We start from the raw sequence: 22,620 nt of genomic DNA, 5'->3' as shown, positions 1-22,620 counted from the left end.
TGTAATCCCAGCATTTAGGAGGCCGAGGCGGGCAGATCACGAGGACAGGAGCTCGAGACCAGTCTGGCCAACATGGTGAAACCCCGTCTCTACTAAAAATACAAAAAAGTAGCCAGGCATGGTGGCAGGTGCCTGTAATCCCAGCTACTTGGGAGGCTGGGGCAGGAGAATCGCTTGAACCCAGGAGGCGGAGGTTGCAGTGAGCCAAGACCATGCCACTGCACTCCAGCCTGGACAACAGAGCAAGACTCCATCTCAAAAAAAAAAAAAAAAAAAAAAAAAGAATCTTTCATGGAAATATGCTTGGGTTACATTTTCAGACACACACACAATATTTTCAATTTAAATAAAGTATCATTTTAATAGATTTTATGTCCTGATCCTAAAATTGTAACATAGTATTCTTTCTGTTGTTGAAACATTCTCCCACTTGGTTAAGAATATTCAAGGCATAATAATTAGTAGCCAGTAGGTTTCACACATGTAGGTTTCACACAGTGACAAGAAATGCTCACTGGACATCTTAGAGGCTGCAAAGCTCTAGGGTGTCACCTGCCTGGCATTGTACCTTCCTGCTCGGACTGCTGAGGAGCCTCTGTGAAGAACTGTGAAGGGTCTGAGATTTTATTCACTTAGAAGCTAACTAGTTACCCTGACAGTTTTATGGAGGCTGACAGAAGACACAGACTCCTGGGTCAGAGAAAAGGACTTTATTACTCACCGCACAGCAAGTGACACAAGCATCAGTATATTTGGTCAGCTCCCCTTCCCCTCGGAATAATGTAGGTAGGCCCAGATGGATACTTGCACACACAGTGGGCTTCATCTCAGGAGAGAAACCCTGAGCTTACGGAGCCCCAATTTTTTTATAGTGAGTAGTAAACCTATCTGCCCTTTGCTCTGAGGGGAAATACTACCTCTACTTTCCAATGCTATAAGCAAGCCTGTCCTTTGCTACAAAGGGGACATGATTTCTACCGTTCAAGGCTTCTCCCTATACAAACATCCTAGAAAAGGTATTCAGAACAAAGAGCAGTTAGGGACTAGCTCACAATACAGGCAGAAAATGCAGAGGCACATGGAAAATTTCCCCTCTACTGTCTCCACAGGAGAACAGGAAGTTGTACAGCCATGCTGCCTTCTTTACAACTGGACACAACTTGGGTTTGCTTCATTTTTTTATTTACTATATATAACTAAATGATATGTTACCTGAATATTTGAATATCAAAAATCTATCTTCCCATAATCACATATGACCATATAGAATTGTGTTCCCACAGGAACAAAAATGGATCTAACTTAAGAATTCTAATATTTACCTTAAGAAGACTAACAGGTGCACAGTCTCTATTCATTCAACGCTCTCAGACCAAAACTTGCATAAATGTTTCAATCAATTATAATGGTCTTTGCATAGTGATTCAAAATCCAAATCCACGTAACTCCTACAAAGCCCAGCATGGCGTGGCCCCTGCTGGTCTCTCTTGCCTCATTTAACACCAGCTCCTCATCCTGAACATGTTCCAGGCACACTGGCTCGCACTCAGCTTCTCAGCACCCTCAACATGCCAAGCTCCATTGCACCCAAGTGACCTTGCACATACTATTCTCTCTGTGAAGTCACCTCACACCTCTCTAGCTCTCCGTGTATTCTATTCACTTTCATCATAACACATATCACAATTTGCACTGAGAGATTTATTTTCTCATGTACTTATTGATGCTGTTTCTTCATCACAAGGCACGCTCCATGAGGGTAGATACTATGTCTATTTGACTGATACATACCTGGAGCCCAGGTTGGTGCTCAGTAAAATATACGGAATGAATGAATGATCCTATCAAAAAATGCCACATAATTAATTCCCACTTTGTGCCACATGGTTATGACTCCCAAGGCCTGAGTCTTTAGGCAATTATAATGGGAAAATCAATTAATTCAAGTATTCCATAGAATTCTGCCACTTGAAAATGGGAACACACAAAATCCAGGTTACATCAGTTCATAGCACCCTCCATTCCCCAAGGAGCAGGAGGTACTGTATAACCCTTTATCAATTTCAGAGCAAAATTGCTGCCATGATTTCTGCCAATTTTCATCAAATTAACTTCTGCATTAATTAGAATCAGGATGCTACATTAAATAGTTGTAAGTGCTTTTAATTTAAATGTTCATGTTTCTCACTTTAGGTTTCCCTTTGACTTCTTGGAACACAGATGATATGCCAGATTAATAGCACTTAATTGTGTTCTGGGCTGCTCAAGCTAAACTAAGACAGGAGGCCTGCTCTTGAAACAAATTTGTGCATTCAAGAAATACTGACTGTCACCGTGCTACATTCTTTACCAGGAATACAAAGTGAAAAATACAGTCCTTGCCCCCAAAATCCTCCCAGCCCAGTAACATGCAGAAATGTAAACACCTTTGGGATATTCACCCAGCAAACCAGTGACCTTTCTTGAGGTCAGCCCCACCTCTTCCCCAGGCAATGGCTGATTAAATGAAGGAGACAAAGTGGTAGGTACATAATAGACAAGACACTCTCATATGGGTTTCTTTACCTAAAGTACAAAAGAGCCTTTATTAGAAGGATTTGCTAAATGACACTTTTAGTGTGGTAATCAAGGCAAGACTAGGAAGAGACGCTTGAGCCTCACAGACCTGGGTCCCAGGAAAGGAAAAGGCCTCCACTAGCCTCAAAACATGCTCTCACCAGGCACCTGTGGTGTCCACCTTGACAGAGACACTGAGATGAAACTCAGGTTGAGAATATGTGCCATGTGATGTTGCCTTATCCTTGAAGTCACATTTATAACAAGGGCAAAATGAATTATTTGGATATAAATTAGCCAGCACACTTAGTTTCCCTTTTTTTTTTTTTTTTTTTTTTTTTTGAGACGGAGTCTCACTCTGTTGCCCAGACCGGAGTGCAATGGCATGATCTCAGCTCACTGCAGTCTCCACCTCCCTGGTTCAAGCGATTCTCATGCCTCAGCCTCCTGAGTAGCTTGGGACTCTACATGCGTGAGCCACTGCACCTGGATCATTTTTGTAATTTTATTAGAGATGGGGTTTCACCATGTTGGCCAGGCTGGTCTCAAACTCCTGACCTCAGGTGATCTACCTGCCTCGGCCTCCCAAAGTGCTGGGATTACAGGTATGAGCCACCACGCCCAGCCATGCACACTTAGTTTCAAAGGGAGTATTATATACAACTACTTGGTAACAACTCCAAGATATTATTTTCTAAATAATTAAATATGTTTGTGAATTCTAACTTAAAACCCATCTAAGTAATTTTAAAATTCACACATACATGAGCACACTATTCCATAGTATGCGAAATGGCTGTATCTATGAACTGGCTACAGAGTCATTCATTTTGGCTATCCTCATAATTAGTAATGATTGCTAGAACCAACGAGATCAAAAAGCAATTTTTAAATCCATAGAAAAATTGCTTCTGTTCTTTTGTACAGCAATACAAACCCAGAACCCCCTCTCTTCTTCTTTTCTTTTTTCTTCCTCTATTTCCTTCCTTTTCTCTCTTGTTCTTTTTTTTTAAAGGAAAAAACTGTTTTACAGTAAAGCCCTTTAAGCGACAAAGTCTTAATAATATAAAGTGTCTGACATTTTGCATGCTTATTTTGGTAGGAATTTTTATATTTATATATTATACTCATTTACATATTATATTTGAATAATCTTGAAATAATCCTGATGATTTTTCATTTTACTGTGGAATGCAAGGGCTGCAAGAGTCACTTCTACCATGCTCCATCACCAAAGATCAACTGTTTCCCCACTGAACTCATAGACAACCCAGATCTGGTCCATCTACCCAGTTCTGAAATCTCTCCAGGGAAGGAGATTCTAACACATTTCTCACATTGCAGTGAGAAAAATTATCTTTCTTTTCCTAGTAAGAAAAATTATCTTTCTTTGCTTAGAACTCAAAGGTCTCTACTGAAATAGAAGCTTATTTCCCTTTGCTTGGTTCTCAGCCAAGCTCAAGAACACCTGGAGAATAACTTTTAATATGCATCTTAAAATTATACCTCCCTTCCAGGAATTTTACAAAGAGCATCAAAGAACAGCTTTGTCAACTCCCCCTAGATCCTGCACAGAGGTTTAATTATAATAACCAGATTTTAAAGATCAGCTCTGAATATTAGTAAGATCATATGGCAACACAGACTTATTTCTTTAGTTCTACCTTGGAATAGATGTGAGAAGAAATAATCACTGCACCAAGCAGTAGCTAGAATGAGAGGATAAGAAATCTCATTCAGGCCAGGCGCAGTGGCTCACGCCTGTAATCCCACCACTTTGGGAGGCCGAGGTGGGTGGATCACGAGGTCAGGAGTTCGAGACCAGCCTGGCCAACATAGTGAAACCCCATCTCTACTAAAAATACAAAAAATTAGCCGGGCATGGTGGTGGTGCCTGTAATCCCAGCTACTCGGGAGGCTGAGGCAGGAGAATGGCTTGAACCTGGAAGGCGGAGGTTGCAGTGAGCCAAGATCACGCCATTGCACTCCAGCCTGGGTGACAAGAGCGAGACTTCGTCTCAAAAAAAAAAAAAGAAAAGAAATATCATTCATTTTGGATAAAGAAAAAATTGTGTTTAATAATTTAATCAGGAAAATGAAGCACTCAACATTCATCATGAGTAGTTACACAGAGCACGTAATCATCGGTGTTACCCTCACTGCTTCTTCATGCTCACTTAAAGCTGTTATTTTAATTTGTCACATTTCCATAGCAACTGCTGCCTCCCTTTTTCTAGCTAAAGTACTAGGAATCATTCCCAACCCCCCTAAATGTTCCAGTATTCATCGTCAACATTGTAAAAACCTTTGGCTCTTCTCCCAAAATGGCTAGCTCTGCCCAGGGTGCTATTAAGAATCATGATCACTCTTGACCTAAATCTCCTCATCAACTGATCTAATACATGAAGACCTACCTTTCTTCTTGGTTGGAGAGAGTGGGGTGTCTCTGAGAGAAGTCAAATAGAAATGCCTTTCTACCCCAACTAAATGTTAAACCAAATGAGAAATAGCACAAGGGGTAAGACAAGCAGAGGCCCAAATGCCACCTTTATTGGCGTGCAAGGCCAGGACAGAGAATGGAGGAAAGCTTAGAGTAGGAGCAAAATGGATTGTAACTGAGACCTCCCAGCAGAAGACAGACATGGCAGCCTATCCTGGCAGCACTAGGCTGTTGGTGGGAGAAAAAGGCCTGCCTAGGAAAAAAAAAAGGAGAAATGCATGCTCTGTGGTCAGGCTGGGTCTCAAAAAGGAAAAGCTGAACATGCCTAGACTACTCTTTCTAAATGTGATGCAGATGTCACACATCCTTACCTGGCATGGGATGAGTAAAGTGACAGACAGAAACCAGTTTATTAATTAAACTCCTTCTACTTGGAAGATAACAGAAAAGAGGGAAAATTGTTCTCCTTCCTGCTCCCACTCCCCCCACATTGCAAGAGCTACCAAATAGGATTCTCTAGTGATGGTGTCTCTTGGTTTTCATATACTCCATAGTAACCCAAAGATAGCAGGTTGAAACTTACAATAAAAATACTTTAATCTTAATGATAACTCTCTAGTTTTCCCGATGTTTGTCTATTCTGTTTCCATCTATTTTGTGCCTTATTTAGTTCACATTCATTAAAATTTTTTCTAAACTTAAAAATCAAAATTCTGCCTTATTACTAATCTGAAAACCAACAAACAAAGAAGTTAATCAAGTTAACTTCTGTAAGTCTCCTTTTCTCTTTGTAAAATGGGGCTAATAGCACCTATGACATAGGGATTATTTTGAGGATTAAAAGATATTATGCATGTGAAATGCTTAGTAGTCCTATGTCTGGCACCAAAATAACACTCAGTACATATTAGAAAAGGTGATGGTGGTGATGGTGACAGTGATGATGTCAGTTCTTTTGCTCTTTCGTTCATGACCTAACTCCAAAATGTATCCTGAAGAGTATGACATCTCTCCACCTCCAAAGTTATTACTACCTACTCCCTCTCACCTGGACTATTGTAGCAGCCCCCTCCTTAAATAACCTGAGGCCTTGCCCCTCTGTCATGGTTCTTCTATAGCAGGCACGGGGAGCATTTTAAGATGTAGATTTGATCTTGTCACTCTCTTACTTTAACCCCTCCAGTGCTTCTCATTACAGTTGGAATAAAACCCCAATCTCTTATCCCAGCCTACAGTTTGGACACAAGTTGGCCCTGCCCACTTCTCTGACTTCACCTTCCTCTACTTTCCTGCCGGCTCACCAGTCTGCAGCCCTGGGGTCTTGTTTTTTTTCCTCTAACTCCAAGCAGATTCTTTTGGGGGACTCTTGTAGGGAACTTTAGAGTCCAATATCAAAGGATAGTCCCTTCTCCTTTCCGGCTCCAAATTAAGTAATAAGTTCATCACAAAGTGAAAAATTCAAAATTTAATGCACCAAGAAACAAAAATTAAATCCCTTTTTTTTTTTCTTTTCTGAGAAATAGCAATCATAATCCTTGGCTCATAACACACTCTGACCATTGGTTCATGCCTTATTTGTGGGATTTTTAAAATGTATAAAAATGTAATAATTAAGCTCATTACTGAAAGCCATAATCCAACATCCAAATATGATCCACCATCCAAATATGATCCTCACCTCCCTCCACTTAATGTCGCTATCATCCTGAATACAGGATGCAGAAGACCTGAATAGCTCTATCAACCATCTTGGGCCAGTTAATATTTATAGAATGCTCCACCCAACATCAGCAGAATATACTCTCTTTTCAAATGTTCATAGAAAATTCACATATATTTGGAAATTCCCAAATATTTGAAAATAAGTAACATACTTCTAATTCCATGGTTCAAAAGGAAGTCAAAAGAGAAATTAATAAACATTTTGAATTGAATTAAAACTAAAACATAACATACCAAAACCTGAGGCATGCAGCTCAAGCAGTGCTTAGAGGGATATGTAGAGCATTAAATATATTAGAAAAGACTGAAGGTTTCAAATCAATGACTGTAGTGAATTCTATAATGCTATGTTACCTCAGCATCAATTCTGAATATAAGTTGAACTTTCTCATGCCAGAGCAGGGCTTAGTCACACTTGACACAGTTTCCATTTCTCTACTTCTTCCCATTCCTCAATGTGGTCGATCTAGATAGCCCCCGATACAATTGCCTCCGGTTGACAACCTCCCTATGGGGAAGCTAGATACAGCCCCATGGACATGCCCCACTGACCCCCACACCCCACACGGACTGCACGGAAATATCACAGTAACCATCTCTCAGTCACAGCGTGGCCCCACAGAACTCATGCCTGCTTGCTTTAAACCCACCAATGAAAACTCCCCATGGGAAACCTGCTTGGATAATACTTTGGACCCCAATAAATGCTTTAATCCCACAAGTCCTCTGTCTCTGCCTCTCTCTTGCCCCTACCCACTGGTTGAGCATGTGTGTCCCAAACGGCCCTGCAAGGTGTGCTGCCCTGTTCTTTCTGGGCTCTGTCAAGGAATCAAACTGCTTCTGTTATGTGATGTGTTTTGTTGTGCTGCCTCCTCTGTGTTTCATCTGCTGACAAACCCAGACTTCTTTCCTGGTCAGGGGTCTCCTAGAGAAAGGCTATCTTGGTAGGAAAAAACTAGACACAGGCCAACAAGGAACCACAGGGTGTCTGCCAGTAAAACAAGCATACTGTGAAAGGGACACCTGGGCATGGGTCAGACACTTAGGCATTAGGCCATCCATCCCCCAGGATAAAGAAGTGTCCCATGAAATGTACATTGTAAGCATCCGTAACCATCAGGGAGTCCCATCACAGCAAGGATGCATTTTATAGCCACTTTCCAGAGAGAGACCTCAAGACCAAATTAGAAAGAATTAAAAAAAATATATCTAAGCTTCCACTTTAATAAACCAAAAAAAAAAAAGAGAAAGAGCAAATTTAAGTCCAAAACAAGCAGAAGAAAGTAAACAATAAAGGCCAAATGACATGAAAACAAACAAACAAACAAAAAACCAATAGATTGCTTGATAGTTCATGCTGAAAAAAAAGGAAGGAAAGAAAAAAAGTAACATAAATAAATAAAAATAACAGAAAATTAGTGAAACAAAAAGCTGGTTCTTTGAACAGATCAATAAGATTGCTAGACTTCTAGCTGACTGTGATGGTTAATTCTGTGTATCAACTTGACTGGCCCTAGGGATGGCCAGATTCAACATTATTTCTGGGTGTATCTGTGAAGATGTTTCTGGATAAGATTGGCATTTGAGTCATGGGACTCAGTAAAGCAGATTGCCCTCTCCAATGTAGACATCATCCAATCCATTGAGGGCTTGAAATAGAACAAAAGGCAGAAGAAGAAGGAATTTGCCCCTTATTTCTCCCTGACATCTCATCTCATCTCATCTGGCCCTTGCACTAAGATTTACACAGTTAGCAGCCCCAGTTCTCAGGCCTTCAAACTCAGACTGAATTAAACAACTGATATCTTTGGTCTCCAGCTTGCAGACAGCAGATTGTGGGACTTCTTAGCCTCCACAACTGCATGAGCCAGTTTCTCATAATAAATCCTCCGTGTGTGTGTGCATGTGTGTGCATGCGTATACATTCTATTGGTTCTGTTTTTCTGAAGAACCTTGACTAATACACTGACCAAGAAACAAGAGAGGAAAGAGAGAAGACACAAATCACCAAAATCAGGAATGAAAGATGAGAAATCACTATAAATCTATGGATATTAAAAAGATAATAGGAGAATATTACAAATAGCTTCATGCCATAAGTTAGACAAATTAGATGAAATGGACAAATTCCCAGAAAGGCACATACCATCAAAGCTCACTCAAGAAAAAATAACCTGAATAGCACTACATCTACTAAAGAAACTGAAGTCATAGTTTGGAACCTTCCAACACAAATATATAATATATACATATATATACACATATGTATATATACATACCCATAATAGAATATCATAACAGCTTTATGAAATAATTTTGAAAACTTAGATGAAATGGATACATTCCCAGAAAAATGACTTACCAGATCTGACTCAAAAAAAAAACCTACAGTTTTACAAGTATTTCTTTAACTATTAAAGAGATTTAAGCTGTGGTTAATAATCTTCCCATAAAGAAAACACCAGGCCCCAATGGTTTTACAGGATGTTTGACTACACCTTCAAGGAACAAATCATCCCAATTTTATATGAACACTTAGAGACAACAGAAAAAGAGGAAGTATTCCCCCAACTAATTTCAAGTAAGTTTAACATTTATATCATAATCAGACATGATGAATACCTCTTCAAATATTTATGGGTCATACACGTTTCCTTCTTTATGATATGCCTATTCATGTCTTTTTCTTTTTTTTTTTTTTTTTGGAGACAGAGTCTTGCTCTGTTGCCCAGGCTACAGTGCAGTAGTGTGATCTCGGTTCACTGCAACCTCTGCCACCCGGGTTCAAGCGATTCTCCTGCCTCAGCCTCCCGAGTAGCTGGGACTACAGGCAGACGCGACCATGCCCAGCTAATTCTTTTTTTCTTTGTATTTTTAGTAAAGAGATGGGGTTTCACTATGTTGGCCAGGCTGGTCTTGAACTCCTGACCTCAAGTGATCCACCTGCCTCAGTCTCCGAAAGTGCTAGGATTACAGATGTGAGCCACCATGGCTGGTCTATTCCTGTCCTTTGTCATGTTTTCTCACTGTATTATTTGTTCTTTTATATTATTCTGTAGAAGGGATTTTTTTGTTTGTTTCTTTTGAGACAGAGTCTCACTTTGTTGCCCAGGCTGGAGTGCAATGGAGCGATCTCGGCTCACTGCAACCTCTGCCTCCTCAGTTCAAGCGATTTTCCTGCCTCAGCCTCCTGAGTAACTGGGATTACAGGCATGCGCCACCACACCCGGCTAATTTTTGTATTTTCAGTAGAGAGGGGGTTTCACCATGTTGGCCAGGCTGGTCTCGAATTCCTGACCTCACGTGATCCCCCTGCCTCGGCCTCCCAAAGTGCTGGGATTACAGGTGTGAGCCACCACGCCCGGCCAGAAATTTTTTAAAATATTAATCCTTTGTAAGTTTTGTGGCTATGAATAGCAATTCTCAGTATGGAACTTGTCTTTTCACTTTCTTTCAGATGTTTTTGATGAATAGAGGGTCTTAATTTTAATATGATCAAATTTATCATTCTTGTCATGTGTAGAAACATTTTCCTTTCCTAAGTTCAAAAAGATATTCACCTTTGTTCTCTATTAAGAATTTCAAAGTTTTCTTGTTGATATTTAAGCCCTTAATTTATCCAGAGTTGATTTATGCTTTCAGTGTAAGACAGTGACACAATTTCATTGAGTAATCACTTTTTGTGTGGCTCCATCTTTTTTAAATATTATTTTTAAATTATTTATTCTTTAACAAAATCTGTGTATATTTATGGTTTACAACATATTTTAAATATATATGTACATTGTACAATGGTTAAATAGAGCTAACTAACATATGCATTACCTCAAATACTTTTGTATCATTTTTCTGTGGTGAGAACACTTAAAATCTATTCTTTTAGCAATTTTCAATATAAACTTTGTTATTTATACAGTTGACCCTTGAACAACATGGGGGTTAGGGATGCTGACCTCCCCACACAGTAGAAAATCTGTGTATAACTTCCGACTTTCCGAAAACTTAACTACTAATAGCCTACTGTTGACTGGAACTCTTACTGATAACATAAACAGCCTATTAACACATATTTCATGTTACGTGTATTACATACCATATTCTTACAATAAATTAAGCCACAGAAATGAATGTTAATAACAAAATTAGAAAGAAGAGAAAATTTATTTACTACTCATTAAATGGAAATGGATCATCATAAAGGTCATCACATTGAGTAGGCTGAGGAGGAGGAAGAGGAAGAGGAGTTTTTGCTTTCTCGGGGTGTCAGAGGCAGAAGAAAATCTGCCTGTATGTGGACCCACACAATTCAAACCCATATTGTTTGTGGGTCAACTGGAGTCACCATGTTATTCAACAAGTCTCTCGAAAATTTTCTCCTCCTGTCAAACTAAACCTTTGTATCCTTTGACCAACAGCTCCCCAGATCCCCCAAACTCCCACGCCCACCATTCTACTCACTGCTTCTATCCGTTCAAAATTTTTAGATTCCACATATAAGTGTAAACATGCAGTATTTGTGAATCTGAAGAAATACACATAACTCACTGATGTCACTTCATAAACACAGATTTCAAATGGGCTCTCAGAACTGCTCAAAAAACCTATTTTCTTGTCAATGCATTTTCCTACCATTCTAGATTAGGAGGCAGTATAAGAGGGGTCAAATACAAGATTCTAAAACCAGATTACCTGGGTTAAAATCTTACTTCTACCACTTACTAAATACGTGATCTTGGGGAAGTTAAACTCACCAAAGCCTCAGTTTTTGTATATCTATCCCTCAGTAAAATTATCGTTATCTGTCCCTCAGTAAAATTCCTTATGAGAATAAAATGAGTTAATAAATATAAGCCAAAAATAGAATCTGGCACATAGTAAATACTATCTAATGCTTATATTGTTATCATTGATGATGATTTCACATCTTACCTTCTCTCCTCAAACCTTTTTCTCCCACTCTTTCTCTTCACTGATGGCCTTGCTTTTTATTTCATTGAAAAAATTGAAAAAGTAAGTCAAAAGTGAAGAAGTTCCACAACTTCCTATCATCAAATCTTCCAATTTACTTGCAGCTGTACCTGTCACTCTACTACCATACATAAACTGTTATTGTTCCTACAGTTAACTCCTCCACTTGGGTACCCTTCTAGTCTACTTAAGGAGTTGCTCCTGCAATTATCCCTTCTCTGCTGAATAACCCATTTTTAATTTTCTCAACCTGATCAGCATACAAAAATGTCATAAAAGTTGCCATCTTAAAAATAAAACCCTCCAACTCCACATTCCCCTCCAAATAGGGTGCCATTTCTCTGCACATAAAAAATGTCTTTCAAAAATTGTCTATAGTTGCTGTCTAGACTTCCTTCCCTCCCATATTCTCTTCACTCCGATCCCATCGCCTTTCACTTTCAGTACTCCATGGAGTCCCCATTTGACAAAGTGACCAGTAATCTCCACATTTTCAAGTCCAAAAGGCAATTCTCAGTCCTCATCTTATCTCTTTTCACACTTTCTCACTCCCTTCTTCACTTGGCTTTGAACAGAGTGTAACATTGGCCACTCTTTCTTCATCTGTTTTGCTTCACCTGCCTTCTCTTCTGTACCACTAAACTTTGGTGTGCTCAGGACTCTAATCTCTGTTCTACCTACAGTCATCACCTAAGCTATCTCAACTAGAGCCACAGTTTTAATACTATTTATTCATTGATTACTCCTCAGCTTCTTATCATATATCCAACTGTCCACTTCACATCCCTGGATGTTTGACAGTTCAAACTTAACACATCCAAACCAGAACTCTTCATTTCCTCCTTTGAAATTTGCTCCTCTCCTCGTATTTCCCACTTTGGAACTCACCCAACTCACAACTCACAACTCTACAACTCACCCAAGTGCTGAGGTCAAAAATCATAGTGCTGTAATTAACTCCTCTCTCACATCCTACAGTCCTGAGCAAATTCTGTTCATTCTACCACCAAACAGTGTATCTGACCCAACCACTTTTTACTGTCTCCACTGAGGGTCCAAGCTATCACCATCTCTCATCTGAACTATTGCAATACCTTCCCAAGTGGCCTCCCAGATTCATGTCTTTTTCTCCTCTCAACAGCCAGAGTAACCCCATAAAAATATAAATCTTATTTTGCTACCTACTCCCAAGCTCAAAACTTTACAATGGCTTTAAATCACCAGAAGAGTAGAAAAAGGCTTTACCATGGCCTACAGGCTCCACATGTTCCTGTGTAACTCTCAGACCCCATCTAATGCCACACTACTCCTCAGTCACTATGCTCCCCTTCTTCACTGATCTTTCAGTTCTTAGAAAGCACTAGCCCATTCTACATCTGCACAGAGATGTCACCTTAAACTACCCTATCCAGAGTAGCCACCCCCATCCCCAAGTCACTATCACCCATCCAGCTATATTTTCTCTATAGCTCTACAGTATGTAAAAATCATCTATTTAATTATTTAATTTACATCTATCTAACTGGTCTGTCCTCTCACATTTAGAATATAAACTGTATCAGAGCAGAAACCTTCACCCTCTTAATTTAACCGCCATATTCCCGGTACCTACAACAGCGTCTGGCACATAGAAGGCATTTTTAAACATCCTTGCTGAGTGAACCAATATCCCAGAAACCTCTCACAGCTAGTTCATCTTACAGGAGAAACAGTATTAAAGAGTTAATTAAATGGCCAGGCGCGGTGGCTCACGCCTGTAATCCCAGCACATTGGGAGGCCGAGGCGGGCGGATCACTCGAGGTCAGGAGATCGACACCAGCCTGGCCAACATGGTGAAACCCCCTCTCTACTGAAAATACAAACATCAGCCAGGCGTGATGGTGGAAGCCTGTAATCCCAGCTACTCAGGAGGCTGAGGTGGGACAATCGCTTGAACCCGGGAGGCGGAGGTTGTAGTGAGCCAAGATCGCACCACTGCACAACAGCCTAGAAGACAGAGTGAGACCCTGTCTCAGAAAAAAATAAAAATAAAAATAAATAAATCTATAAGTAAATGACTCGCCAGTCAAAATAAACGGCAACTTTAGGGTTAAAGGCCCAATCTGGCTCCAAAGCTTGGGGTTTTAGTTACTACACTACATTGCTTCACTATATTTTACAATTTACTAGCTGCTTATAAGTATGAATTAAGGCTCAGAAGTCTAATTTTCCAGACTACTCGGAGGACTCTCGCCCCACTCCACTCCACAAAGATTCAGCTCAGCGACTCCTTCCTACTCTGACCTAGCCCCGCGTCCCGCTCTCAGTGGCTTGGGCAAGAGCGCCTGCGCGGTGAGCGGGTCCCATAAAACGCATTCTGGGATTGGTAGTCCATGTTCCTCCGGTCTCCAGCATTCAAAAGAAAAAGGGGGAAAAAAAACCATGCAAATTAGATATCTCTGAATTTCTTGCAAATTAAATAAGACGCAGATTCTGGCTCAGGAAAGTGATGCAAACGCGTCGTTTTCAAAGGAGAGACCCCAGCCTCGGGTCAGGCGCGGCGCAGACAGCGGCGCGGGGTCCTTGGCTGGGCGGGGCTTGCTCGCGGTGGCTTGTGGCTCCTTCCTGCGGTGCTTCTCTCTTTCGCTCAGGCCCGTGGCGCCGACAGGATGGGTGAGCTGTTGTGGCCGGTTTAAGGGCGCTGCAAGCGGGACTTGGGGTCTTGGGGACGGGCGGGCGGATGCGAATAGAGTAGGGCGGGGGATGCCATGGAGAGGCTCCATGGGGGAGGGCCGGGGAAGCGCCGCTCCAGGAGGCACGTGGTCCGGCGCGGAAGGGGCCCATGAGGCGTGGAGGCCGCCGAGGTCGGGGTACCGAGGGACGCAGGGAGGCCAGCGCTTCCTCCCGGGCATTCGAGCGGGGCCTCGTCCTTCGGGAGAACACATTCTCCGGAGCCCTCTTCGAACGTTTATTAGTCGGTTCAGGGCAACTTGAAGGCCAAATGTTTGGCCCACAGGCCAATAAATAGTACGAGAGCCAATCGGCTTAAGGGTTTATTCCAGGTGAGGCGAGTGTCTTAGAAGATGGGAAACACGTAGATGGCGTGTTTTTACGGAAGAACTAAAATATTTAATTTTTAGGCAAGTGTCGTGGACTTCGTACTGCTAGGAAGCTCCGTAGTCACCGACGAGACCAGAAGTGGCATGATAAACAGTATAAGAAAGCTCATTTGGGCACAGCCCTAAAGGCCAACCCTTTTGGAGGTGCTTCTCATGCAAAAGGAATCGTGCTGGAAAAAGTGTAAGTCCATTGCTCCCGTCAAGTTTTAGTTTATTATAGGAATTCGAGACATGAACTTACGAATTCTTGTTTTGAAAGTAATTGCAGGTTTTTGTGTAGTAGTATTCATTTGGGCATTGTGGGGTAAAATTGCAAAGCGTTTGTTCTATTTAAAAGTTGGTAAAATTAGTTTTTGGGAATTAGGTAGTTAAGGTTTTAATTTAACGTTGGCCTGGAAGGAATTGGAGAAGATACTAGCAATGATGAAGTAAAGGACACAAACACCTTTACTGTGGGAGTTGTTATAAGTAAATGGCACGTGTCAGCTATTGAACTTTATCGACTTGATAAAACTAAGGTGAAGAGAAGTGACTTGCATCAGAATTAATTGAGGTCATACACCTAAGATTGAGACATGAAACTGCCAGTATTTGACTGGTTTTGACTTTTTAAAATAATAATTTCATATAGTTCTATCATATTTGATGGTAGAGCCATTTTAACCCAGACTTTTTTTTTTTTTTTTTTTTTTTTTGAGACAGTCTAGCTCTGTCACCCAGGCTGGTGTGCAGTAGCGCAAGACTCCCTGCAACCTTAGCCTCCCAGGTTCAAGCATTTCTCCTGCCTCAGCCTCCCAGGTAGCTGGGATTACAGGCGCCCACTACCACACCAGCTAATATTTTGTATTTTCAGTAGTGATGGGGTTTCACCATGTTGACCAGGCTAGTCTCAAACTCCTGACCTCAGGTGATAATGCCTGCTTCGGCCTCCGAAAGTGCTGGAATTACAGGCGTGAGCCACTGTGTCCGGCCCAGACTTTCTAATTCTTACCTCAGATACCTTTTTTCTTTTTTCTTTTTTTTTTTTTGAGATAGGGTCCCTTGTCACACAGGCTGGCCATCTTGACGTTCTAGGCATAGATCCTCCCACGTCAGCCTCGCAAGTAGTTGGGACTACAGGCCCACGCTGCCACTCCAGTCTACTTTTATAACTGTAAAAGGTCTAGAAATTTCCCCCATTGTGCTAATGAAATTAAGACTGGCAGAAAACTAGGTTGACATCACAGGACTTCAGCTCAGCCATTTGAGGTTAGATTGAAAAGATAGAAACAGTTTCTCATTAGTTCTCTAGTTAATATGAAAAGATAATCTTTTTCAGAAAGCCAGCTCACAGTGCTGTGCCTTTTGTATTTCAGAGGAGTTGAAGCCAAACAGCCAAATTCTGCCATTAGGAAGTGTGTAAGGGTCCAGCTGATCAAGAATGGCAAGAAAATCACAGCCTTTGTACCCAATGACGGTTGCTTGAACTTTATTGAGGTGAGTATTTCAACTCTATCGTACCTTCTGTTCTTGGGGTGGCCTCCCTCACATTTTTATCTGATGCAAGGGAGTTTCCTCACATGAAAGTATTTTTGTGATCGCCACCAACACCAGAAATAAACTTCTTATTTTATTCCAGGAAAATGATGAAGTTCTGGTTGCTGGATTTGGTCGCAAAGGTCATGCTGTTGGTGATATTCCTGGAGTCCGCTTTAAGGTTGTCAAAGTAGCCAATGTTTCTCTTTTGGCCCTATACAAAGGCAAGAAGGAAAGACCAAGATCATAAATATTAATGGTGAAAACACTGTAGTAATAAATTTTCATATGCCAAAAAATGTTTGTATCTTACTGTCCCCTGTTCTCACCACGAAGATCATGTTCATTACCACCACCACCCCCCCTTATTTTTTTTATCCTAAACCAGCAAACGCAGGACCTGTACCAATTTTAGGAGACAATAAGACAGGGTTGTTTCAGGATTCTCTAGAGTTAATAACATTTGTAACCTGGCACAGTTTCCCTCATCCTGTGGAATAAGAAAATGGGATAGATCTGGAATAAATGTGCAGTATTGTAGTATTACTTTAAGAACTTTAAGGGAACTTCAAAAACTCACTGAAATTCTAGTGAGATACTTTCTTTTTTATTCTTGGTATTTTCCATATCGGGTGCAACACTTCAGTTACCAAATTTCATTGCACATAGATTATCTTAGGTACCCTTGGAAATGCACATTCTTGTATCCATCTTACAGGGGCCCAAGATGATAAATAGTAAACTCAAAATTGCTCCCCACTCTGTTTATTATTTAAAGGTGTCAGGATCTGTGTTGTAATGTGTCTACATTAATGTGTTTAGGAGAATACAGGCATTGGATCATTTAGTTGATGGAAGTATATGCCAGGCAAGGGAGATAAGGTATACGACAAGACTGATGTTTTCAGTATCTTCTCATGAGGTTGTCAGAGACCTTCATGTCTTCAAAGACTAGTCAGCAAATGAAGTGGTTTAGTGTAGAGACAAGATTGGTTGTGTTTTGATAATTTAAGCTAGGTATTGAGTACATGTGGATTTTGCTGTCCACAAATACTTGTTTCAGAGTTTTCATGGATACAGTGGCATGGTTGAAATGAAGCTGTGAGCCTTCTGCTTTAAATCTGATGTAAGAAACTCCTGTTAACAAATAGTAAGTATGGGTTAATTAGCCCTTTGATCAAAGCCTAGCTTTACATTGTTTAGGATCTTTGGAAAACAATTGGTTTGGTTGCCCACTTTCCGTAGGATCAAGAGCAGAACCTTTCACATGGCACAGAAGAACCCAGGTTGCGCTTCATACCTGCATATTCCAGCCTTAGCCTGCCATTTCTCTCCTTGGCACTTTGTGCTCCAGCAACACTGGTCTCAGTTGGTCATCCTCAAACTTGGGTTCCATATCCAGCCTCAGGACCTCTGTTCCTGTTACTATGGTTCCTTGCATGTCGCCTGCTCTTACTAAAGAGCTCGTGTGTTTTCCAGCACACTTCGGTTTATCTCTTGATGATGATGCTAGTCTCTCCCTCCGCAAGGGCGGAAAGGCTGCCTGTTGGTTTGTACCAGTGTTTCCTAACGTGTAGCTGCAGTCAGTATTTGGCTAAGCTGTTCCCAGGGGCTCAACAGATGCTTTCGGATGAGCCTTAACTGACCCAATCCTTTGTGATGCGGGAGAGATTGCTAGGCCTCGCTCACCTGGCCAGAACCAGGGAAAGAGGCCGCGGTTGCAGCGCGATTCCAGGCCCTGGGCGTCAGGCGCGGGGTGGGCAGCTCTCCCCGGGCGGTGGGGCCCTTGTGACCGCGAGGCGGGGCGCACCAGGAAGGGAGTGGGACAGCGCGGGCGCCCAGGGATGTGGCCTGGTTACCTGCCTTCTCTGATACGTCAAGACACCTTCAACAATGGCTTGCAGCTGTACCCTGTTGGCTGCACCCAGGACGCCCTTTTCACTGCTAAGCAGTCCTACCTGAGGCCCAGGGGCTGCCAGATTGACCCATAAATAATCTCCGGCGCCTCAGATCCAGAAGCTGCTGAGCCTGATCTTAGTGCCTTCTCCTTTCTCTGTGTGGCCCCCCAGCCCCTTTCCCCACTGCCTTGTGTCCAAGGCCCTTTCCTTCATGTATCCATGGAGGAGAGACAAAAATACACATCAATAAAATAAGATAGGGAATCCATAAATAGACATTCAGAAGTATGGCCAACGGATTTATCTTAAAACCAATGGAGGAAGAAGAGTTTCAATAAATGTTGTGGACTTCCATTTGTCAAAGACCAAAACAAAGGAACCCCAACCTTACATGTAATACAAACTTAACTCAAAATGGATCATATATCTAAATGTAAAATGGAAAGCTATAAAACTGAAAACAGACTATCTTTACAACCTAGGCGTAGGTATAGTTTTTAGACATTACACCAAAAGCACATGCCGTAAAAGAAAAAATAGATAAATTGGTGGATTTCATTAAAATTAAAAAACTTTTTCTCTCTGAAAAATCCTGTTAAGCTGGGCGCTGTGGTTCATGCCTGTAATCCCAGCACTTTGGGAGGCTGAGTTGGGAAGAAATTAATAGCTTGAGGCCAGGAGTTCAAGATCATCCTGGGCAGCAAAGTCATACACTCTTGAGGGAAGAGAGAGACCTTCTCATATTGTTTTATATTGTTTTATACTCAGTACCTGTTTTAAGAAAAAAACAAGGAAGTGAAATCAAAGACAGGCAGCCCGGCACCAGGCCTGAAACCAGCCCTGGGCCTGCCTGGCCTAAACCTAGTAGTTAAAAATCAACTTACGACTTAGAACCTGATGTTATCCGTAGATTCCAAGCATTGTATAAAAAAATTGTGAAACTCCCTGTTGTGTTCTGTACCAGTGCATGAAACCCCTGTCACATATCCCCTAGATTGCTCAATCAATCACGACCCTTTCATGTGAAATCTTTAGTGTTGTGAGCCCTTAAAAGGGACAGAAATTGTGCACTTGAGGAGCTCAGATTTTAAGGCTGTAGCTTGCCGATGCTCCCAGCTGAATAAAGCCCTTCCTTCTACAACTCTGAGAGGTTTTGTCTGCGGCTCGTCCTGCTACATTTCTTGGTTCCCTGACCAGGAAACGAGGTGACTGACGGACGGCTGAGACAGCCCCTTAGGCAACTTAGGCCTGCCCCGTGGAGCGTCCCTGCGGGGGACTCCGGCCAGCCTGAGTGATGCCATCCAAAGAGTGCTCCTGGGTAGGCAGTTGCCCCGGTGGAACGCCTCGCCAGAGCAGCACATAGCAGGCCCCTGCGGAGGATTAACACAGTGGCTGAACACCGGGAACCGGGAAGGAACTGGCACTTGGAGTCCAGACATCTGAAACTTGGTAAGACTAGTTTTTGGAACTTGCCCCACTCCATCTGAGTGGAAGCGTGGCCTGATCACCCATGGTGTGCCTGTATTGGCACTTTTGTTCTGGTTTTGACTTGGCTTGACTTGGTAAAACTAGTCTTTGGAACTTGCCCCACTCCATCTGAGTGGAAGCGTGGCCTGATCACCCACGGTGTGCCTGCATTGGCACTTTTGTTCTGGTTTTGACTTGACTTGAATTGCTGGATACTGTGGTTTTGGTTTTGACTTGGCTTGAATTTTTTGGTACTCGGATTTTGAATTTCGTGATTTTGGTTTGGTATAAACGGTAACAGTGTGTGTGTGCCCTCTTTACCCGTTCTTTGTCTTCTGGTGTGTGTGTGTGGTGTGAGCGTGGTATTTTGTCTCAGGAAAAAAAACAAACAAACATAGGTCAGGTGCAAAGTAAGCCCACCCCACTAGGAACTATCTTGAAAAATTTCAAGAAAGGATTTAAGGGAGATTACAGTGTTACTATGACACCAGGAAAACTTAGAACTTTGTGTGAAATAGACTGGCCAGCATTAGAAGTAGGTTGGCCATCAGAAGGAAGCCTGGACAGGTCTCTTGTTTCAAAGGTATGACACAAGGTAACTGGTAAGCCAAGGCACCCAGACCAGTTTCCATACATAGACAGTTACAGCTGGTTTTAGACCCCCTTCCCCACCACAGTAGTTAAGAGAACAGCAGCATAAGCAGCTGGCAGAGGCAAGGAAAGACCAGCAGAGAGAAAAAGAGACCATCTATACCAATTCTAAGTTAATTTAGACTAAACAAAGTCTTATTAATAGCAAAGGATAATTGAAATCCCAAACTGACAAGGTTTTCAACAAAAGTGAAGTTTGCTAAAAGTTAACAGTGTAACATGTATTATGGTAACTTCTAATCTTGTGGCCTTAGACAATCTAGTTCAAAGACATAAAGAAAGTTCGCTTTAAAAAAAAAAAAAAGGAATGGTTATCTTCAAAAAGAAAAAAAAAAAAGGAAAAAAACGGGGAGAGGCAGAATTTATGTAAAAAGAGTGTTACATGGTAAATTCTTGTCCTGAAATAAATTAACTGGTTGTTTAAAAAAAAAATGTAATAAGTCAGAAAGTTAAGACATGTTGAAAAATTGTCTGCAAAAGTCGTGAAAGAAAAAGTTATAAAAAGTATTTATGCAAAAAAGTTGTATAATTTAAAAGTAATAAGGCCTCCTGAGTACTATTTTAAAAAAACAGTTTATGTGCAAGGTGTATAAGAAAAGTAAAATATACCTTTGGTAAAAAAGATTATAAAAGGGCATAAAAATGTGGATTTTTACCTACATTAAAAAGTTAAAAAAATTGTTTTAAAAGTTTAAGCAAGTTTTAAAACATTAATTGTAAAGAAAATTCTGTGTGTAAACATATTAGCTAAAGTTAAAAAGGTGTCATCCAGTTTTTCTGTGAACTAGACATTAAAAATGCAACAGGTTTTTCTTAAAGGATCAACCTGTTCTTTAACAAAAATTATAAAAAGTTAAAAAGAGTCTATAAAATCTTACATGGTCAAACATAAAAAATTGGATAAATATGTCTACAAGGTTTTATTAAAATTAAGTTTAACATTAACACTAATATAAAGGTAAAATTTAACTTATGTGGTATAAAAATCATACAAGAAGCATTATTAAATATAAAATGGTGTTTAGCTTTCTTTGGTCTAAAAACTAATAAAAATAGGTGCTACAGGAAACATTCATTTTACTAAAGGATCATAGAAGCTAAAGACTTAAAACAAACTTTGGCAATTAAGACAGCATACCAAGATGCAAATGCCTGGTTGAAATAGATCAAATATTCCATCTGCACGTTAAACAAAAGCAATTGTTATGCTTGTGCACATGGCAGGCCAGAGGCCCTGATTGTCCCCCTTCCACTAAGGTGGTCCTCTAGTCGACCAGGCATAGGCTGCATGGTAGCTCTTTTCCGGGACTCTATAGCCTGGAGTAAAAAGTCATGCCAAGCTCTCTCTGCTATATCCCGAAGTCCCTGCGGGTCAGCCCCTGAGGGCCATCCAGCTTCCATCTCCCAACACTAAGTTCACTTCGTGTCTGTCACAGCAAGGAAGAGACTTAGCATTCCTTAGAGACCTGAAGGGATGCAGTGAGCTTAAGAATTTTCAAGAGCTTATCAATCAGTCAGCCCTTGTTCGTCCCCTAGCAGATGTATGGTAGTATTGTGGTGGACCTTTACTAGGCACTCTGCCTAATAACTAGAGTGGCACTTGTGCTTTAGTCCATTTGGCTATCCCTTTCACCCTGGCATTTCATCAACCAGAGGAAAAACAAAAAATAAGACATCATAAAGCGAGAGAAGCCCCTTATAGGTCTTTCAACTCTCACATCTATTTAGATGCAATTAGAGCCCCGCAAGGAATACCAGATCAATTTAAAGCTTGAAATCAAATAGAGGATTCAAGTCAATATTTTAGTAGATGACAGTCAATAAAAATGTAGATTAGATAAACTACATCTATTACAACCAACAGCAATGAGCTTTTCATGAGTTAAAAAGAAAAACTCATGTCGGTCCCAGCCCTGAGGCTACCTGACCTGACAAAACTCTTTACACTCTATGTGTCAGAAAGAAAAAAAAAATGGCAGTTGGAGTTTTAACCCAGACTTTGGGGCCCTGGCCAAAGCCAGTGGCCTATCTCTCAAAACAACTAGACAGGGTTTCCAAAGGCTGGCCCCCATGTCCAAGGGCCCTGGTAGCAACGGCCCTGTTAGCACAAGAAGCAGATAAGCTAACTCTTAGACAAAACCTAAAGTCCCCCCATGCTGTGGTGATTTTAATAAATACCAAAGGACACCATTAGCTAATGAATGCTAGACTAACTAGATACCAAAGCTTGCTCTGTGAAAATCCCCACATAACGATTGAAGTTTGCAACACCCTAACCCTGCCATCTTACTCCTGGTATCAGAG

The 22,620-nt window shown here is 41.2% G+C and overlaps 1 protein-coding gene and 1 pseudogene across 21 annotated transcripts in view, besides 6 other annotated features; one reads left to right on the top strand and one right to left on the bottom strand.

The window, feature by feature from the left end:
- ATP6AP1L (ATPase H+ transporting accessory protein 1 like (pseudogene)) overlaps positions 1–14,009 on the bottom strand; it is a 40,157-nt pseudogene extending 26,148 nt beyond the window's left edge. For 14 of the 20 annotated variants that reach the window (NR_172117.1, NR_172107.1, NR_172108.1 and 11 more), the window contains exons 1-2: positions 12,932–14,009; positions 11,648–11,699 (exon numbers count right to left, since the gene is read on the bottom strand). The product of NR_172117.1 is annotated as an ATPase H+ transporting accessory protein 1 like (pseudogene), transcript variant 12 (transcript). Of the gene's footprint in view, positions 1–721; positions 821–1,791; positions 1,842–11,647; positions 11,700–12,780 lie in introns of all 20 variants that reach the window. The other 6 variants (NR_172121.1, NR_172115.1, NR_172119.1 and 3 more) reach the window with 5 other exon arrangements.
- Positions 13,985–14,314: an enhancer, noted in NCBI's record as "active region_22736". NCBI's record gives its function as "activates an Ori minimal core promoter by ATAC-STARR-seq in GM12878 lymphoblastoid cells {active_cell/tissue: GM12878}" and the evidence as "EXISTENCE:reporter gene assay evidence [ECO:0000049][PMID:35858748]".
- Positions 14,305–19,339, top strand: RPS23 (ribosomal protein S23). Its single transcript, NM_001025.5, has 4 exons — positions 14,305–14,339; positions 14,807–14,966; positions 16,141–16,261; positions 16,404–19,339. Exons 1-4 carry the CDS (start codon positions 14,336–14,338, stop codon positions 16,548–16,550), a joined length of 432 nt encoding a protein of 143 aa, NP_001016.1. The 5' UTR covers positions 14,305–14,335; the 3' UTR covers positions 16,551–19,339.
- Positions 17,235–17,928: an enhancer, noted in NCBI's record as "OCT4-H3K27ac-H3K4me1 hESC enhancer chr5:81570550-81571243 (GRCh37/hg19 assembly coordinates)". NCBI's record gives its function as "activates a minimal SCP1, AML or CMV promoter by ChIP-STARR-seq in naive H9 embryonic stem cells {active_cell/tissue: H9 hESC(naive)}" and the evidence as "EXISTENCE:reporter gene assay evidence [ECO:0000049][PMID:30033119]".
- Positions 17,929–18,623: an enhancer, noted in NCBI's record as "OCT4-H3K27ac-H3K4me1 hESC enhancer chr5:81569855-81570549 (GRCh37/hg19 assembly coordinates)". NCBI's record gives its function as "activates a minimal SCP1, AML or CMV promoter by ChIP-STARR-seq in naive H9 embryonic stem cells {active_cell/tissue: H9 hESC(naive)}" and the evidence as "EXISTENCE:reporter gene assay evidence [ECO:0000049][PMID:30033119]".
- Positions 18,115–18,164: a silencer, noted in NCBI's record as "silent region_16150". NCBI's record gives its function as "represses an Ori minimal core promoter by ATAC-STARR-seq in GM12878 lymphoblastoid cells {active_cell/tissue: GM12878}" and the evidence as "EXISTENCE:reporter gene assay evidence [ECO:0000049][PMID:35858748]".
- Positions 18,973–19,092: an enhancer, noted in NCBI's record as "active region_22735". NCBI's record gives its function as "activates an Ori minimal core promoter by ATAC-STARR-seq in GM12878 lymphoblastoid cells {active_cell/tissue: GM12878}" and the evidence as "EXISTENCE:reporter gene assay evidence [ECO:0000049][PMID:35858748]".
- Positions 19,355–19,649: a silencer, noted in NCBI's record as "tiled region #9633; K562 Repressive non-DNase unmatched - State 18:Pol2". NCBI's record gives its function as "represses a minimal TATA promoter and a strong SV40 promoter by Sharpr-MPRA in K562 cells {active_cell/tissue: K562}" and the evidence as "EXISTENCE:reporter gene assay evidence [ECO:0000049][PMID:27701403]".

This window comes from Homo sapiens, chromosome 5, assembly GCF_000001405.40.
Source record: "Homo sapiens chromosome 5, GRCh38.p14 Primary Assembly".
Lineage (NCBI taxonomy): Eukaryota > Metazoa > Chordata > Mammalia > Primates > Hominidae > Homo > Homo sapiens.
The sequence above is the reverse complement of the archived record's forward strand: the minus strand, read 5'-3'. Positions and strand labels throughout refer to the sequence as shown.